General features: G+C 41.6%; 1 protein-coding gene and 1 long non-coding RNA gene across 4 annotated transcripts in view; one reads left to right on the forward strand and one right to left on the reverse strand.

Annotated features, from left to right (window-relative positions):
* The window catches only part of GRID1-AS1 (GRID1 antisense RNA 1), a 29,485-nt gene that overhangs the window by 6,836 nt on the left and 1,876 nt on the right, over window positions 1–20,773 (forward strand). The gene's annotated exons all lie outside the window — the stretch shown is intronic.
* Window positions 14,986–20,773, reverse strand: part of GRID1 (glutamate ionotropic receptor delta type subunit 1) — a 767,244-nt gene continuing 761,456 nt past the window's right edge. For all 3 annotated transcript variants that reach the window (NM_017551.3, XM_047425122.1, XM_047425123.1), the window contains one exon: window positions 14,986–18,135. In NM_017551.3, the coding sequence (NP_060021.1) occupies window positions 17,707–18,135 (429 nt within the window). In that variant the 3' untranslated portion in view covers window positions 14,986–17,706. The remainder of the gene's footprint in view (window positions 18,136–20,773) is intronic.

Genomic DNA, 20,773 nt, shown 5'->3' on the forward strand with positions numbered 1-20,773 from the left:
ATTACTAAAGATCTGTTATCAGAATTCCTTTTACTGAGTATGTCAGTCAGGCTTACGACAAAAAGTCACAATATATACTAAAGGCAAAATACAAAAAAAAACAACAACAACAAAAAACAGTTTGAAGAGACAGAACAAATATCAGAACCAGACTCATATATTTCAGACATGTTGGAGTTATCAGGCCGAGAATTTGGAACTATCCTTAATAAGCTAAAGGCTCTAATGGAAAAAGTAGAAAATACGCAAAGCAGAGGTAAAATGTAAGCAGAGAGATGGAAATTTTAAGAAATATTCAAAAAGAAATGATATAAATCAAAAACATTGTAACAAGAAGAATACCTTTGATAGAGTAATTCGTAGACTGGATATGGCTGAGGAATGAATCTCTGAGCTTGGGCATATGTCAACAGAAACTTCTAAAACTGAAAATCAAAGAGAAAAACATGAAAAAATAGAACATAATATCCAAGAACTGTGGGACAACTACAAATGATGTAACAAATGCTTAATGGGAATATACGAAGAAGAAATAAAGAAACATAAAATACTTGAAGTAATGACTGAGAATATTCCCCAATTAATGTCAGACACCAAATCACAAGTCCAGGAAGTTCAGAGAACACCAAACAGAATAACACGACCCTGCTTCTGAAATGAAGAATCAAAACAAGACAAAAATACACTACACCTAGAAAATTTATATTCAAACTGTGGGAAATCAAAAATTAAAAAGTCTTAAAAATAAGACAAATGTAAAAAACATCTTACTCATAAAGGTTCAAGGATAAGGATTACGGCCGGGCGTGGTGGCTCACGCCTGTAATCCCAGCACTTTGGGAGGCTGAAGCAGGCAGATCACAGGGTCAGGAGATCGAGACCATCCTGGCTAACAGGGTAAAACCCTGTCTCTACTAAAAATACAAAAGAAAATTAGCCAGGCATGGTGGCACACGCCTGTAGTCCCAGCTACACAGGAGGCTGAGGCAGGAGAATCGCTTGAACCTGGGAGGTGGAGGCTGCAATGAGCCGAGATCACGCCACTGCACTCCAGCCTGCTGACAAAGCGAGACTCCCTATTAAAAAAAAAAAATTACGTCTGATTTCTCAGAAAAACTTCAAGCAATAGAATGAAGTAAAATATTTAAAGTGTTGGAAGAAAAAACACTAGCCTGGAACTCTGTGGGTTGCAAAATTATCCTTTAAAAGTGAAGGAAAAATAAAAATATTCTCATACAAACAAAACTTGAGGAAATTTGTTGCCAGTAGACCTGCCATGAAAGAAATGTTAAAAGAAGCTCTTCAGAAAGAAAGAAAATGATATAGGTCAGAAACTCAGATCTACATAAACAAAGGAAGATCACTGGAGAACGAACAGTAAAGATAAAATAAAAACTTCTATTTTTCTTGTTCTTAATTGTTCTAACACGTAACAGTTTGTTCCAAATAATAGCAACAATTTTTTAATGATTATAGCTTATGTATAAGTGAAATGAATAAGGGCAATGATTCAAAGAACAAGAAGGAACAATTAGGAATATTTTGTTATTATAAGGTACTTGCACTGCCTGTGAAGTGGTATAATATTTCCACTTTCAAGTGGACCTGGATTAGTTGTAAATATATATTGCAAACTCCAGGGCAACCACTAGGAAAAAAAAAAGAAGTATAAATTATATGCTAAGAAAGGAGAGAAAATAGAATTATATAAAATGCTCAAGTGAAGCCACAAAAGACTGAAAAGTAAAAAATAAAAACAAAGGCAATAAATAGAAAAGTTATTAATCCAACTATATTAATAATCATTTCAAACATGAAATATCTAAATACACAATTAAAAAATTGTGAGAGTGGATCAAAATTCCACAAGAAACCCACTTTAAATATAAAGAAACATATAGATTAGAAGAAATGGAGAAAGGTATATCATGCTAACACTAATCAAAACGAAAAGGAAGAAGCTGCATTAATATTAAACAGAACAGACTTGACAGCAAGGAATATAATCAGGGATCAAGAGGGGTAAACATAAAGGGATAGATTTACAATAATATACAACAATCCTTAACGGGTGTGTACCTAAAATGAGAGCATCAAAATATGTAAGGCAAAAACTGATAGAACTTCAAAGAGAAGTAGATGAATCCACTATTATATTTGTAGACTTTAGCACTCCTTTATCAGAAATGGACAAATCCAGCAGGCAGCAAATAACTAAGGACATAGTCGAACTCAACAGCTCCATCAATCAACTTGATATAATTCACATCTATAGACTACTTCATCCAATAAAAGTATAGTACAAATTCTTTTTAAGCTCATGCAAAATATTTACCAAGATAGATCAATATTCTTGGCCATAAAAAAACAACAATTTTTTTTTTTTTTTTTTTGAGATGGAGTCTCGCTCTGTCCCCCAGGCTGGAGTGCAGTGGCGCGATCTCAGCTCATTGCAAGCTCCTCCTCCCAGGTTCACGCCATTCTCCTGCCTCAACCTCCCGAGTATCTGGGACTACAGGCGCTCGCCACCACGCCCGGCTATTTTTTTTGTATTTTTAGTAGAGACGGGGTTTCACCGTGTTAGCCAGGATGGTCTCGATCTCCTGACCTCGTGATCCGCCCGTCTTGGCCTCCCAAAGTGCTGGGATTACAGGCATGAGCCACCGCACCTGGCCCAAATTTTTTAAAAATAGAAATCATACGATGTTTTCTCTCAGAACAAAATAGAATTAAACTAGAAAACAATAATAAAGGTAGGTGAAAAATCCCCAAATACTTAGCAATTAAGCAATGCATTTCTAAATAACATATTGGTGAGTGAAAAAAATCTGAAGAGAAATTTAGAAATATTTTGAACTAAACAAAAATAAACAGTTCATCAAGAATTGTGGGATGCAGCAAAAGCAGTGCTTTGAGAGAAATTTGGAGCAGTCACTGTATATATACTTTTGTAAAAAGAAATATCTAAAGTGAATAATCTATGCTTCCACTTTAGAAAAGTGGAAAAAGAAGAGTAAATTAAATCCAACGTAAGTAGAAGAAAGAAATAATAAAAATTAAAGCAGAAATAAATGAAATTTAAAGCAGGAAATCAATAGAGAAAATGAACAAATCCAAAAGCTGGTTCTTTGAAAGATGAATAAAATTTATAAAACTCTAGTCTGCTTACCAAAGGAAAAAAAGAAGACAAAAATTTCTAATATCAGAAATGAAGAAGAGACATCAGTACAGATCTTATGAACATTAAAAGGATAATAAAAATACTATGAATAACTCAACACCTACAAATTTTATTATTTAGATAAAATAGAACAGAAAGGCACATGTGCCAAAACTCATACAAGAAAAAGTAGGCAATCTGAATACACCTATATCTACTAAATAATTTGAATCAAAAATTAATAACCTTTCAAAATCCAAAGCATCAAACCCAGATGGGTTCATTGATCAATTCTACCAAACATTTAAAGAAAAAAATTACAATTTCTACAATCTCTTCCAGAAGATAAAAGCAGAGGACAAACTTCCTAATTCATTCTGTGAGGCCACCATTACCCTAATACCAAAACCAAAGACATTTTACAAGAAAATAAAGGTACAGGCCAATATTTCTAATGAACAAATATGCAGAAAATCTCAACAAAATATTTGCAAATTGAATCCAATAAAAAAATTATACATCATGACCAAGTGTCATTTATCCCAGGTATGAAATGCTAGTTCATTCTATCAAAAGACTAAACAACAGCAACAAAAAGTTCATGATTATATCAATAAATGCAGGAAAAGTACATTTTAAAAAACTTGATGCCTATTCATAATTAAAACTCATGGCACACTAGAAATAGAAGAAAATTTCTCAACTAGATAAAAAAAAAACTACAAGAACCTATAACTAAAATTTTACTTCATGGTGAGAAATTAGAACGTTTCCCACTAAGATCAGGAAAAAGATGAGTATATCTCCTCTTACCATTCCTTTTCAAAGTGTTAAAACTATGCAATAAGCAAGATAATGCAGTAACACAAGAAAAGGAAATAAAAAGTATACGGATTGGGAAGAAAGATATAAAACTCTTTCATAGGTGGCAGATTTCTTTATGTTGAAAATCTGAAATAACCAACAACAGAACTCCCAAAACTCAAAAGCAATTATAGAAAGCCTTCAGATATAAGGTTAATATACAAATTAAATTGACTTTCTATATGTCAACAATAAATGGAATTTGACATTAAAACCACAATACCATCTACAGTAGTGCCAAAAATATTAAATTACTTGGCATAAATCTAGCAAAATATTACAAGATCTATATAAAAAATGAAAAACTTTGATGAAATAAATCAAAGAACCAGATAAATAGAAAGATATTCTATGTTCATGGATAGAAACACTCAATATTGTCAAGGTATCAGTTCTTCACAACTTGATCAATAGACTAAATACAGTCTCAACCAAAATCCCAGTAGTTATTTTGTGGATATCAACAAAATGATTCTAAAGTTTATATGAAGAAGCAAAAGACCCAGAATAGCCAACACAACATTGCAAATGAACAAAGTCAGAGAACTGATACTATCAGACTTTAAGACTTACTATGAAGCTACAATGCAGTATTAGCAAAAGAACAGACAAGTAGATCAATGGAAAAGAATATAGAGCCCAGAAGTAGAACCACATAAATAAAGTCAACTAAATTTTGATATAGAACCAAAGGTAACGCAATGAAGAAAGATACTCTTTTCAACAAATGTTCTGGAACAACTGAAAATCCACATGCAAAAAAAAAAAAAAAAACCCACAAAGAATTTAGACAGAGACCTTATACCCTCACAAAAATTAACTCAAAAGAAACCATAGACCTAAATGCAAAGTACACAACTATAAAACTTCCACAAGATATCATAGGAGAAAATCTACATGACCTTGAGTATGATGATGGCTTTTTAGACACAACAGCAAAGGCAAAATCTATGAAATAAAAACCCAATAAGGTGACTGCATTAAAATTAAAAATTTCTGCTCTGCTGAAGACACTGTCAAGAGCATGAGAAGACAACCACAGACTGGGAGAATATATTTTCAACAGACATATCTGATAAAAAGATTATTATCAAAAATATACAAAGAACTCTTATATTCAACAATAAAAAATCAAACAACTCAATTTAAAACATGGGCAAAAGACCTGAACAGACACTTCATCAAAGAAAACATACAGATATCAAATAAGCATATAAAAAGATGCTCCACATCATATGCCATTAGGGAACTGCAAATTAAAACAAAGAGATAGCACAACTATCTTTTAGAATGGACAAAGTCCGAAACAGTGATAGTATCAAATGAGAAGCAATAGGAACTTTCATTTATTGATGGTGAATACAGTCACTTTGGAAGACAGTTTGGTAATTTCTGACAAATTCGGTAAATTGTGACAAACACAGTCTTATTATCCAAACCACCAATTGCGCTTTTAGGTATTTACCCAAATGATTTAAAAACTTAATGGCCACCAAAAACCTACAAATGGATATTTGTAGCAGCTTTATTTGTAATTCTTAAAAGTGTTTTTTCAGGCAGAAGAAAAATATCTCAGAAAGAAACAGAGACATAGAGGAAGAAATAAACAGACACAGAAAAAAATAAATATATTGAAAAGCCCAAATGATTCCTTACTGTATGTAACAATAGTTAAAAAATTATTATTGAAGTTTTGTTGAAAATATATGTAAAATTACAATTATAAAAAATGGAATGGGTTAAATGAAGTTAAGGTGTTTTAAGATCCCGATTTTGTCTTGGACATGGTAAAATATATATTTATATCTATAGGATAATCCCTTTAAGAATATAAAAATGTACAACCAACAAGCTAACAGAGAGAGGATACTGAATAACAAAGCATTATTTTAACTACTAAGAAGGCAAAAAGGGGATAATTAAAATAGAACAAGAGGGAAAAATAGAAAAAAAGACTATAGATCTAAATCCAAATACATCAGCAATTATGTTGAATGTGAATGCACTAATTAAATATTTTAAACACCGTATTAAAACACACACACATACGGACACACACGCAGAGCCTCAAACTGCTTTCAAATGTCGCACCTTAAATATAAGAACACAGAAAAGTTGAAAGTAAGAAATGGAAAGGTATTAATTTTTTCAAAGTTTATCTGTGGATTCAATGCAGTTTTGGCCAAAATCTCAAGAGTAATTTTCCAGAAAATAGCATGATGTTTTAAAATTTATGTGTAAATGCAAAGGACTGACTCACATAACCAGATAATCAAGATTGATGACAAAGTTACATCAACTAAGACAGTAGGACGTTAGTGCAAAAACAGACAAATGGATCAACAGAATATGATAATGAAAACAGGCCTACACACATAAGATCACTATATTCATGATAAATCTGATGCTGCAGTGTAATGAGAAAGGGACTTTTTTCTATAAATGATTCTGTAATAAACAAATGTCCATATTAAAAACATGTTATAACCTCTTTCTGATATCATACTAAAAAATTGATTCCAGGCAGCTTGCAGATGTAAATGTAAAGGCAAAACAAACATCAACACAAAACACCCAGAAGAAAACAAAAGAATATCTTTGTGGCCTGGTTTAGGCAGTTTTCAGAAACAGGACATATCTAACACCGAAGGAAAAAAAAAAAAGTTGAAAATGAACTTACATTTAAATTAACAACTTCTGTTCATCAAAAGATACCACAAAGAAAGTGAAAAGGTAAACCATGCTATGGAAGAAAAGAGACAGCTCACAAAAGCAATATACAAATCGGCATATGTAAAATGCGCAATCTCATTAATCATCAGTAAATGCAAATTAAAATCACAATTAAGTGTACCACATTCCCACTAGAATGGCTGAAAATTAAAATATATGATAGCACAGGTGTTAATGAGGATGTGGGACAACTGCAGCTCTCAAACACTGCAGGTCAACTGCATAAATCAGTACAACTATTTCTGAAAACTGTTTAGCAGTATCTACATAAAATTGAACACATGCATACTTGTGACCCAGCAAACCAACAGAAAAGCATACATAAATTCACCCAACATGTCCAAAAAATGTTTATTGGGATACTGCTTGTTATAACCCAAAACGAACACAAATCAAAAGTCTATTGACAGTAGAATGCATAAATTGTGGCATATTCATACAAAGAAATCCTGTAAAACAATGAAATGAACTTCATGCAGAAACATAAAGTCCCTAAAGCCAGTGTTGAATTAAAAAAAAAAAATAGAAAAAAGTATAATTGATTCTATCTCAACGTATATCTAAAATAGATGAAATTAATCAACGGTTCTAGAATTTATAGTACTGATTACCTTCAGAGTTCCAGAGTTGTCAACTGAGGAAGTATACAAGAGGAAATTCTATTCTCATTTTGGGTTAGGGCCTACACAAGAGCACTCACACTGTTAAAATTAACCAACCTCTATACTTATGATTTGTGCACCTTTCTAAGTAAATTTTATAATTTTCTGAACAAGTATATTATAAAACTGTGACCTTGTAATTGGGCCTTCCATGACCATTTTCCTGTACTGCTAATGGTCATCATTACTGAGCACTTGCTGTATGTCAGCCACTGGCACTAGGTACTTTAGTCCGAGTTTTCTTTTCTTTTCTTTTCCTTTTCTTTTCTTTCTTTCTTTCTTTTTTTTTTTTTTTTTTTCCGAGATGGTGTTTTGCTGTTGTTGCCCAGGCTGCAATGTGATGGTGCAACCTCGGCTCATTGCAACCTCCACCTCTGGGGTTCAAGCAATTCTCCTGCCTCAGCCTCTCGAGTAGCTGGGATTACAGGTGCCCACCACCACACCTGGCTATTTTTTTGTATTTTTAGTAGAGACATGGTTTCCCCATGTTGGCCAGGCTGGTCTCGACATCAGGTGATTCACCCGCCTTGGCCTCCCAAAGGGCTGGGATTACAGGCGTGAGCCACCATGCCCAGCCTCCCGGTTTTCTTAGTTCATTATTCAAAATAAAATTGCTGCTCACGTTGTTTAGATTTCATAGATATGGAAGCTGATGCTCAGAGAAGTTAAGGGACTTACTCATGGTCATGTAACTAAAAACCTCCCTCCAAAATCACACCTTTCTGATTCCAACACTGACTCCTGTGTAATTCTGTGCCTTAGTATTCTTTAGGGATCCATTCAGAATAGTGGCCTCCCACAGCCAAATTAGAATTATGCAGGATACATTCACACTACCCCAACTGCAAAAAGGCTAACTAGTGTTTTCTCCCTGAATGCCACACCCTCCACACTGCCTGTCCTCACCTGCAAGCTTGCAGTCCTTGGTGGCTGAGACCAAGATCTGGGGAGGTGACCCTCTGTCTGATGTGTCTTGTGTCGCCATCTTCGGAACATGTGGGGCAATTCAGGGCAGAAAAAGCATGAGCTTTATTTAGGCTGACAGACAAGATGAATGGCCTTGAGCAAACCACTCAACTACCCTAAGTCTCATTTTCTGCATTTATCAAAAAGAGATTTCTTTAATTTTCCAGGGGGAGAAGGAATTAATTCTCCTGGGACATGCTAGGCATATGATCCATGTGAATTCCTTTTCTTTCCCCTCTCGACTCCCCTAGAGGAAATATATTTTATTTCTTCCCTGCCCCACACCCATTTTCCATCTTTCTCTACTCTGCCTCAGTGGACTCCCTTGCCATCTGCTCTAGGGATTGGCAGGAGATTCGCTGGCAGGAGACCAGTGAAGTCAGAGTATGCACTCCCGCAGCTGGCTGCTTGTAGAGTCACCATTGAATGGCTTATCTCTGGAGCTGGGCTCAGCTCCTGTCAGGCAGTCCTGACCGTAGTTAGAACATGTGCTCCCTCCTTCCACCTTGTTGGGCCATCCGTGGGTAAGGGTGTGCTCACTTTTTAACAGAAGTGAGGGCTGCTGTTACTGCCAGCTCCCAGTGGGAGAGTGAGACCCAATACACTCAGGCTTCTCCACTATGGAAGAAAAGAGACAGCTCACAAAAGCAATATGCACATAAGCATGTGTAAAAGGCTCAATCTCATTAATCATCAGTTCTCCTTGTGACTTTGCTTTGCCTGTGCACATCTTTCCAAATAGTCTCTCTCCCCAAATTTCTCAGTTTCCCTGTGCCATCTCTTTCTTACCATGCAGGATCCTTACTGACATAGCAGCTCACTGGGTCATTTTCTCTAGAATACAACAAGCACCTTCTATGTGAGATTACTTAGCCTAGCCAGATGACAAGTTGCCAACAAAAGAAGATTCAACTACCTTTGGGCTTCGGGCCTAAGGTAGAGGCAGAAGCTAAAAAAAAGCAGACATGATGGAATAGATGTAAAATAATCCCAGCACATACACAGCTCATTGCTTCAGGTGTGTGCATTTATTTCCCCCATAAAACACAAGGGGTTGGATGCTACCTGAAAAGCACAGGGCCATCACCCCAGGAACCTCTGAAGGTCTTTGTTTTTTGAACTATATGGCCATAAACCTTACCTCTCAAACTATATTCTGGAGGATGCATAGATATCTCCACCAGCTTTGGAGAGCTAGTTTCGCTGAAGTTTGCTTCTTTTCGGCTGCACTTCATCATGAGCATGTCTGAAAGTCAGGAGCTGAGAGGGCACTGACTGAGCCTCTCACAATCAAATCACTCCTCTCTAGGTAAGCCAGGCTGCTTTTCATTTGCTTTCTGATAACAATCAGAGTGATTACCTGAGAGGGTCTCGGGAACAGAAGTGAGGGCTGCTGTTACAGCCAGCTTCCAGTGGGAGAGTGAGACCCAATGCAAGCATTCCAGTTCTAGGGACGAAAATGGAAATGCTTCCTTCCTCTGTCTCAGCTGACAAGCTGGAAGGAAGTGGTCTGTACGTGAATGTTACAAATGAGATGGGTGACTAAGCTAAAAGCCTGAGCAGTTCACACCAAGAGGCAGGATGCTGTAGGTGTGCAAATCACAAGAGCTGCTATTTATAAGAGTGTGTTTGTGCAGGTACCTTACCCACATTATCACTGATCTTCAAAACAGCTCAGGACTCAGAATCCATTCTACAGGTGAGGGGGAGAAAGAAGGCTCAGAGACATTGGTAATAGGATCAAGGATACCCATCTAGTGAGTGGCAAAGAACAGATTTTTAAGCCAGATCTGTCTTTTCCTACTCTGATCTACTGAATCAGCACTAGGCCATGCTGTTTTGCAGGAAAAAAAGTAATTTGCCACAAAGCAAAAGGAAGCATGGCTTTGCTTGTCAAGAGCCAGCTCTGGTCTTTGGGAACTGTATAGGTTCTGCAAGAGGCTCAGCTGGCAGAAGAGGGGAGCTTATGAACTGGGAAAACATCATTTCAGCAATCATGAATCACACATATAGCTCTGTGAATTCATTCTTATCACTTCAAATCCAAAATCATACAACTGTAAAGTCCAGAGCCAAAATGCAAAAGCAGGTCTCACTTATTTTATTGCCATAGCATTTGTCTAGCATTTGTCTCCATCTAAGGTGCACGAATCCCTTCTCCCTGCACCCCTTGCCCAGGGAGCTAGGCCTAGGAGAACAGAGGAAATGTGGATATATCCCAGGCAGGGCACTGACCCTTCCCATCCAAGAAAGCCACAGGGAGGTAAGGGGTTGAAAGCAGGAGGCAAGGTGAAAGGAACCCTCTCTACTTAATGCCAGGGAAACAAGCATGAGAGCTTCAGGGGAAGACAGACCAGCCAAAATCCTCTGAAGGAAGATGTGAGCGAGGGAGGTCTCTGAGCAGGTCGACTTCACCACTGAAGTGCAAGCGAGAGGATGCTGGAGGGTGGTGGATTGTCAAGTGGCAGGGCACAGGCGCCAAGCTGGAATAGTAAACACAGTGGTGGGGAGTGGATCAGGTAATACTGGAGCATTTAGAACCAAGATCAGCCCAGGGACTGAGTGTGGAGACAGCCAATTCCCTGCCAGTCTATTATTTCTGAAGGAAGAGCTTGAATAAGTTTATTTCACCCATTTTTTTTTTGCTTGCCTCAAATTAAGGATGGGTAAAGCAGTTCTAAGGACTGCAAAGCTGTGTTGTGGGAAGCAACTCCCAATTGCAGCTTTTTTTTATGATTACTAACTATGGAATTTTCACCAAATAGAAGATATAGGTATTATTGTCACTAATATAAGAATGAAACAGAGAGACTCAAAGAAGTAAAAAGGAATGTGCTCAAGATGTCACCTCCAATAATGGCCAGACATAGGAATCCAGTCCAGACCTGGCCAGTTTTAGTGTTCTTTCCTTTGACTTATCTTGAGCACTTTCCTGGGTGCCAGGATCAGGTCACCAGCCCTACCCTGTTGCCCATGTATCTCATGGTGCCCACGGTGCCCTGCCAGTGGGATTTTCCCACCTCCTCTTAGTCAAAGCCACAACGCCCCCATCTGCAATGCATTTTCTACACTCCCTCCTCGGCTACTGTTCTGCTTTTCACCTCAGATGAGCATCAAAATAAGATTGCACCTAAACACTCACCTTGGAAGAGTGAGATGCAGAGGCTTGCCTGACTCACAACTCTTAACGGAAGTGGCTTAGAGCTTTTATACGAGAATTTTAGGAATATGTGGAAGATATGAACCAGGTTCCTGGAAAAAAGGCACATACACACATGCATACACACATGCACAAGCAATTTGGCAGATAATTTTTGGAGGTTTTCAGGCACCTCTGAGGTCTATCAAGGGACTTTGGTGAAGGAATTCCTGCCCGGGGGAGAATCCTAAAACTCTTTAGAGCACTAGTTAGTCTCAGAGTTTCCCTTAGCTTGATGCACACTTTACCTTCGGCAGAAGGAGGATATGCCTCTTGGGGAGTCTAGGGGAGGAAGGAGATATCCATAAAGGAACAGCCCAGCTTCTGAGTAAGCCTGACAGACTGATGCCCTGCCTGGCTTAGGCAACTTCAGGGGAGCAGATATCCAGCCCAACTCTGTGGTTACAAATGACCCTGTTAGCCCAGCCTACCTACAGCCACTGCAGGGGTGCACAAGCAGATACTCACCGACTGCCCTGAAGCCACTGGAGAGAAGGCAGCAGATGTGGAGGCTGAGGTACCTGATAGGCTGGTGACAGGGAAGGTCAGCACAGGTGCAGCAGCTGAGGCACAGTGGGTATGCTCTCTGGGAGGGAGAGCCAGCTGTACTGGCAGGAGTACTCACTAAGGACTCAGATAGACAAGAAAGTGAATCCCAGCACTGTCTCTCACCAGCTTTGGAACCATGTCTTTTTGAGTTTCAGTTTTCCTATCTATAAATCTATTTATAATATTTTTTTACCTTGCATGGCTGATCTGAGAATAAGAGAGTGTTTGTATGTGAGGGGTATAGCACAGTCTCTCAAACAGCACACCTGATCAAGAAACGGTCACTGATACGGATGATAATGGGTTTTCTTATTAGGAAGCAGGATGTTTTGGAGAATGCTTGGGGCTTCTTTGCATATTTCAGGGATTCTGGTTGCAAGTCAGGATTTTAGAGCAAGGGACTGATGACACAGGAGGGTTTGGTGAGCACACCAGGCAGCTTTGCAGACAGCAGGCCGCATTGCAGGAGGTGCTCCTCCCTCCTCGGCAGCTGATTGCAGAGCACCGCTTGGCTGATTGTTGTATTGAGACTGTGCACTGGGCAGGGAAGCCCTGAAACAGCCTCTTTTCTCCCCTGGGTTCTGTTTCTGATGAGCCTATCTCCATTTGCTTATGTCACCCAAGCGCATTGCCATGTGCTTTAAAACTCTACATGCATGTGCCTGATATGGTGACTGTGTTTGCATGGACTTCGGTGTTTGTGCATGAACATGTACATATGTGTATATGTGTCTGTGTATACTTATTTTAGATGTACAAGTCTCCATATGTTGGTGAATATTTTGTTTTCCTCTGAGTTTGGACACCCCTGAGCCCCTGGCAACTGTCTACTTGAATCTGCCAGCAACTGAGCTCTCCTTGGGTCACATTTGGTTGCTCACCCTAAGTAATCCAGATCTATCTAGTGCCCTATCTTGCAGATCCCAGCCATTGGCCATTGTAAACTTCTGTGCCCATCTTTTTTGTTTTTTGTTTTTCCTGCAGACAGAATTTCTATTATCTTTTGAGCTCAGTGCTCAATGTCAAGTTCAGAGGTGAGACAATAAAGACAATAAATGCTGGCAGGGGAGGGATGATCAGACATTACAGACAATTGTCCCTTCCTCTTTTGTAGGAGGTGACTATTAGCTCACCTGATTTATCTGGAATAGGTTCACTTCTCTCATAAGTAATCTCCTCTGACTAAATACCACCACTGAGAGACAAAAAAAAAAAAAAAAAAAGACAATGATTAAAGTTATTGGCATAGAAGAGGGTTATTTATGTGCAGTTTCTTGGTACAAAGGGTGAGGATAATAAGAATAAACAGTTTTATTAAAAACAACTAATGGCATAAAAGAATATTTTAGATACAAAAATGTTACATTAGGAACAGAAATGCTGCCTCTTTTATTGTGTCCACAGCAAGGAAAGGTCAGTTAAAATTGTCTGGAGCTTTTATCTCATTTACTTTTGCCAAGGCTAGGAGTACAAAACAAGGCTCTAGTTAAGACACAGATGCTAATTCATGAGCAGATACTTTTGGGAGTGAAAGTTTCCTGAAAACGAAGCTGGAGGCACTCAATTAAGTGACCCCTTCACCTTGGGAGCAGAAGGTCACATAGAGACCTGAGTTATCCGTTAGACCTTGCCCATCTCTGTTATTTAATAATATTTAAAATATGTTTAATATTTCAATTTTTTATATTTCTATCATCTATTATTAAATGGAATGACTTTTAAATGAAAACGCACAGGCCATAGACTGCGTCCCTCCATGTCCTCGTGGCCTTTAGGACCACTGGTCTTTTCTTCTTTAATGTGTCTGCTTCTCCTTTAGAACTTGAAAAGACAAACATTAGGTATGGAATTAGTTTTACCTTGGCACTATTCGGGGGATTTCTGATTTAGGAACTAGGCAGCTTCTTCTTAAGAAAACAGCCCTTTGTGGTTCCCTGCAGCTGCTCCTGTCCACCCATCTGCTCACAGAATCCAGCGGTGTCTGTTGCCCGCCCCTCAGCCCCAGTCTGAGGAGTGGCCCCAACGTGGAGAAGCCTGTCCTTGGTGCAGGGCAGAAGAACTAGGGCTGGGCATCCTCCTTTTGGTTTCTAGAAGAAGAAATTTTGATCATGTCAGACAGCCTCCTCAGATCAGCTTTACTGAGCTTGAGGCCGACAGCGGGGCTGTCCCCCACAAAGTCACTGAAGCCAGGGGACTTTTTCAGAGGTCGGCTGAAAAGCACACACATCTGGGGGTGGAAGATCAGGTTGATGGCTTGAGGCCTGTAGGATGACTGAGGGCATAAGATGTTCATTGGAGAAAGGTCTCCACAGATCCTGTAAGGGCCAAATTTTGAGAAGCCAAGCTGGGGGTCCAGCCAAGCTGTGCTCCACCAGGAATGACAGTCCCTTAGCTCTGAGACCTAAGCACAGGGAAGCAACTTATCTGAGGTCAGGGTGAGTGCAGAGATGAGAGTGGCAGCACAGTCAGCTGACAATTAAAGGGGTGTTCATTCCTCCAGGCCATGGGAGCACTTCTCTACGCATGATGATGACCCAGTTCTCTCCTAAGACACTTCCAAGAACGTAATATTTTAAAGAACACTGTTAGGTTAACCAAAAATTAGACTTGCTCCTCAGCCTGTCCCTCACACTGTCCCCTGGTTGGTTTCAGGGAACTCTGGATATGCACTGGGTGAGGAGGGCCTGCCCCCACCTCCAGGCATATCTGAGACCCCCTTGAGGAGAGGAGTTTTCCTCATGACTGTCCCTGCTGATAGCACAGAATTTACTTCATGATCTCAGCATGCCCAGAAACAAGCAGACAGTATTTCTTCACCCCAGAGAATAAGAGCATAGGGAGCAAAGACAAGATTTATTATTAAACAACTTTAATCCAAATGCTGATTATTATTTGCAGTGTCTGAAGGCACAAAATATACCTAAAATGTATGGAATAGTCTAAACAGAGTTATAAATCCAAAGAGCAAAGCATGAAAAAAAGATACATTCTGAGCTGACACAGAAATCTGAGTTGGGAAGTTTTTTTTTTTCCTAGAGAACTTGCTTGAATATCAATCATTTCCCCTCATGCCAAGGGTAGAAAATTCTAAAAAAAAAAAAAAATATATATATATATATATAAACATGGTGAAGAATAACACCATGAGGTGTTAAGGATTTTGTATAAGCAGAATACTTCTCTTGAAGATGCTGGTCTCTCTCTCTCTCTCTCTCTCTCTCACACACACACACACACACAAACACACACACACAGGCGCACAAACACATCCTCCATCTCCCTCTCTTTCCTCCTTGACACTCATTCTAAGCAGAACCATCCAAGAAGACATCCAAGCTATACCCCAGAAGACAGGCCATCTCAGGGGGCAATGAGGAAACAGAGTTGGTGTGAGATAAGGCAGTGAGACCAGAGTTTGATTAAAAAAATAGAGAGATATATATGTGAAAAATTGACCATTCAGGGCAGGGCCCCCAACGTGCTGATGGAAAACAAAGCCTGCTCTTCCTCGGGGTCATGGTAGCCCACCTAGGCTTCTCTGAGCATGCCTGGCTCCAAGGTCCACATGCTCTGATTGGAGAAATGTCAATGGATTGCCTAGGTAGCACGAATATCAGACCATTCTCAGCATCCAGCAATAAATAACATAATTATAAACACTCTCTTCCCCACAGTGCTTTTAGCTGACTGTGTGATTTGGCCGTTCTTTACTGCTCAATCATGTCACTAGGGACTTTAGGAAAGAAATCAATCCTGGGCTAGTTATCACCCTCATAAATACATCTCTCTAGAAACTCTACAAGGCTATAGAAGAAGCAATCAATAGGACTTTGTATTTCTCCATGATCACAGAACCAGGCTCTCAGCTCCCTGATTACTGCTGGCTGTGGGAGCTCCACCTCCTTCAGTGACAGATGTGGGCTGTGTATTCCATTCTGACGGGTCTGGAGATCAGACTAACCTTTGTCTTTAGGAGAGGAACTGAAGTGACACAACTCAGATTCCCCCAGTTCCACTCCTAATGGTTCTTTCCCTGATTCTGTAGTTTAGTTGCCTCAGAAAGGGCAACTGAAGGAGGGGGCGCTGTTAGGTGGTCCTAGGCTTAGAAAACTGGGCTTCCCTGCAGCTGTACCTGCACAGGGATAGGCCTGGAAATCTCAGAGGTTATCAGATGCCTGAGTGGGGAGGGCCCCTGCTCTGGGTTGGATTGCTGCTTGAAGAGGACTCCAGGTCTGGTCTGGAGAGGGTCGTAAAGGTGGAAGGGAGAGTTTGTGCTGGAGCCAGCCCTGTTTGTTGGACTGCCTGCAGGATTTATGACCCAGAGATAGGCCTTTACTTTTGGGGCTACAAGCAACTTCCCTGGTGGATGGGAGTTACACTTATGCTTCTCACCTAAGGCGCAAGGCAAGGCTTCCTCCTACCCAAATAAACATGGTCTCTTTTCTCTATTTCTCAGCATGCCCCATCACCTGGAGTACTGGTCCACCCACCTGGGCACCTCCCCCAACTCTTACTAACAGAGTCCGTTTGCCTGACACCACAAAGCTTCTACTCCCTGCATCTATGGCCTCACTTCCTTCTCTCACCTGGGACCATGGGTCCAAACCCAAGGGAATATTCTTCCTCTACCTGGCCTTTTGTTCCACCACCTCACCTGGTCCATGCAACTAACCCCACCTCGCAACTCCCTGCCCCCATGGACCTTCTTCCAGACCAACCCCACCTCCGCCCAGTCTCCCTGAGGAAACGATGGAGTCTGCCCTCCTTCCCCCAATATTCTATCACTTTTTGATTCTTCTAATTTTGAAAAGAAAATGAAAAACAAGGCCAACAGTATGATATGAGAACAGCTCAGTATCAAAGCCCTCAATTACCTCACTATGGGTAATTGTCAGCTTCTCTCGGGCCCATGGGGCAGAGGCACACTGCAACACACACAGCGGTGACTAACTCGTCCCGCAAGATCCAAGACAGGACAGGATAGCCCTGAGTCCAGGGCACCTCCTCAGCCCCAGGCTACCCAGAACAGCCGATCACCCTACAGCACAGCAACCCAGTGGGCCAGCCCAATGCGGGCTCCAAACTCACTCTTTATCAAGCTGAGGGACTAAAAGGGACGAGGTGCCAGGAGCAAAGAAATGGGGCAGCAAGCTGTGGGACAAGGCAGCGAGTGGCATGTGGGGTTCCTCGTCTTCCCTTCTCCCCCAGCAGAGAGGGGCTCCTTATCTGGTCGCCCCTCCTGCCCTCAGAAAGGCCCAGGAATGGGGGGGCTCCTTTGGCACTTCAGAATGATCACAAGTAATTTGCCTTTTTATTCATATAGAACAAAATTTACAAAGTCATTCATACAGTTTTTGTGTTTTTTTACTGACTTCGAAAATTGGGAATATTCAAAATACACTTTTACCCCACTCCATTCTGTCATTATTTACACATATGTACAAGAAAAATGAAAGAGTCTCTGTGTATGTGTGTGTGTGCGAGTGTGTGTGGTTTGTGTTGTTGTTTTCTTGTATTAAAAAGCTCTGCTGGTCGGGTGGGTGGGAGGGTGGGCAGGAGGGCAGGCGGCGCAGTCAGATGGAGGTCCCGTGGGAGGTGTCCAGAGCCTCTGGAAGGACGCCTCCAGGCACGGGCTGGAAGGACATGGGGATGGGGGTCTTCACCGGGCTCTGCCGGAACAGCCCCCCGTTGGGTGACCTGTGTTTGCACTGCATGGAGGGCATGGTCGCCGAGCTGCTCAGCGGCAGCGGCAGGTTGCTGCTGGGCCCTGATGAGAGTGTCCGGCTGGTGCCATGGCTGCTCTGCTCTGGCAGAAAGGTGCTGACCGAGAGCTGGGTGTTCTGGTACTCCCGTGTCGGCTCCAAGGTCTGGGTGGGAGCCAGGCCCCCCATCTCCAGGGCCGAGAGCTCAATCGACGCTGGGGAAATCTGCTTGTGAGCAATGTCTTCATCCATGAGGCTGTTCATGCGCCGGTGGACCTGCTCCAAGTTCACTTCTTTGTCCTGGAGGGAAGGCATAGGAAGGTCAGGTGGAGCCCTAACAGTGAGTCAAGGCTGGCTTGCTACAGCTCTGGATGTCTGTAGTCACCAGGCCTGGTCAGCCTGTTGGGCTGTGGGCGAGTATCCCTTTCATGTGGCTCCCACCTCCCCTCAATTATATGGCCAACCCTCAGTTATCTGGAGAAGCCAGGGGGGAGACATGATCCCTATGTAGCAAAGAAGATGCCATCAACAGGCCTTGGCTGCATCCTGCCTTGCCTCTGTACTCAGTTTAGAGTCACTGCCATACCCAGAACCAACCCTTAGGACAAGATGCTTTCAAGAGCAGGCAGAGACAGGAGAAGAAGTCCCACAGGAATAAAGGAAATAGTCCTTGAGCCCCTAAGGTGTCCCATGAATTTGCCACTTAGAGTTCAAGATGATGAAAAGACTTTGTATGATCATCCCCACCTTGCACAAAAGGAGGCTCAGGCTCAGGAAGGTTCAATGATTCATCAGAGTCACAGGACCATCAGTGTTAGAGGCAGCTTGGAGGCCTGGAGCCAGAGAGAAGCCCTGCCTCACCCAGTGACCTGTGTCCTCCCTGTGCAATCTCTTCAGGCAGCCCAAGGAGGGGGACATATCCCTGTCTGGAAGGGCAAGGGGGCGTGGGTTCCTGGGTGGAGATTGTGAGGAATGGGACTTCCCCAGGGTCAGCTGACCCTCCTGGTTTCATGAGGGTTCAAGGCTATCTAAGTGGGTGATCTCACACCTGATACTGTCTCACCACAGTGGGTGATATCACAGGAAATTACTTGGCTTGTTTATTTGCTTAAGAAAGAAAACAAAACAGAACAAATATTGTTCCTTTCAAATAACTTGATGATTTCCCTACAATGTCAGAATAATTAAAGGCAGACAAACTGCCTGAAAGCTCAAGGAAGACGTCATCTCCTTCCTTGGCTTCCCCGCTGTGAGGTGGGCACAGGACCTGGTGCTCAGCAGAGGAGCCATATGAGCTTCCCGGTGAGGTTGAGGCTGCAGGGACTTTGTAAGCAGCATGGGTGCTGATGCGCCAGGGAATGTGGTGACCTTTCCCTCACCTCAAACTCCTAGAGAAATACAGTCCCAAAGCTCAGCTCCCAGGCCACCCTGCAGGTGGTCTCATGTTGGCATCTTGTATTGGAGAAAGGAACCCATCCCCTGTCCACCTTGCAGGGGAGTTAGAAATATTAAGAAATGTAGAAGCCCTGAATATGCCTTCAGAAGGAAAAAGAAGGAATCACATGAATCTAAGAGCCATTCCAGTGACTGCTTTGAGCTTCTGTGGGGACAGTGGGAGAGGATTTCCACCCCCAGAAGTTCAACTGAATGATAGGCATGAGCCCTGACCAGATGAGTGCATGAATCACAGGGCTAACCCCCACAAAGGGTCAACTCAGTGTTCCTCAAGCAAGGAGGTGAAGTGCTCTGCAGTTCACTCCTTGCCTCAATGTCCCCTGGCATATAGAAGGTGGGACCACTGCTCTCTCCGCACCTTTATGAGTTCATGGTTGGCACACATGGTTTGGCTTCTGATGAGACACCTGCTGTCAGTCCTAGAATCTTTCCCAGGACAAGAAAACTGACAACACCCATAGGACAACTGACAAGTCATTCCAGGGCAGGAGGAAATCAAGACAGCCAACTAGTTTGAGAATAGAGGATGCTATGGGATGTGGCTCGCTGTCATAGGTGAAAATGACATCAGAAACCATTGGCACAGCCTCACAGGCACAGTCACAACTTCAGTGATCTGAAGCCCACCCACACAAGCAGAGCTCAGCTCATTCGTGCTGGGAGACCATCTCTGAGTTAGGGTCACCTCTGCATGGCAAGTGTCGTCGGGAAATTGTGGGAACTGGCTGGAGAATGCCAGGCTTCTACTTGTCCCAGCTAAATTATTCATGAAATGTTTATGCTGACTCCTTCAAAGGTTTGTAAAATATAGAGCAAACCAAATTCAAGTTATTTTCCTAATTACCTTACACCATGGTGGAGCCAGTTCTGTTCAACTTTGCTACTTTTTGTGTATTCTATTTTATTTGCTTTGTTTTCATTTTTGCATGTAAGACTACTTTAGGAATATTTTATAACCGTTATACAGTGTGTTAGTGGCTTAGCGCCACTCAGCATCAATGATCTTTTCCCAAGGAAGTCTATGGTTTATTGCTTTTAGGGAGTTACTATCCCCACCGGATAACAGTTTGACAGACTATCAAGAGACAGGTTACCTAACGAAGAGACAGGACCATGATCCAAATAAGGACAGTAAGACTGAAGCTGAATCCGGAACAAAGAGACAGAGAGACAGAAAGCAGCAGGTGCTTCATCTGCTGCAGCAGTGGGACTCTGCCAAACTTTCTTTTCCACAGCCATCCTCCTAGTGTTCTGGGCCTCCAGACAAGCCCTGACTCTTGCCCAGCATCAAGCCTGCATCTCTAGCATTCTTGGGGCTGCTATGAGCTCCTGTTAAACTGTGGATACAGTGTCATCTGTATTAGCCAGAATCAGTGCTACAATCGTTTTGGCGAATATTTGTATCTATAAGGCATGTTCATTTCAAAATGTATGAAGGGCACAAAACAAGTACCAGGGAGTCTGGAAGCTGAAGTAGTTGAGA

The sequence above is a fragment of the Homo sapiens genome, chromosome 10 (genome assembly GCF_000001405.40).
Source record: "Homo sapiens chromosome 10, GRCh38.p14 Primary Assembly".
NCBI classification, from domain to species: Eukaryota; Metazoa; Chordata; class Mammalia; order Primates; family Hominidae; genus Homo; species Homo sapiens.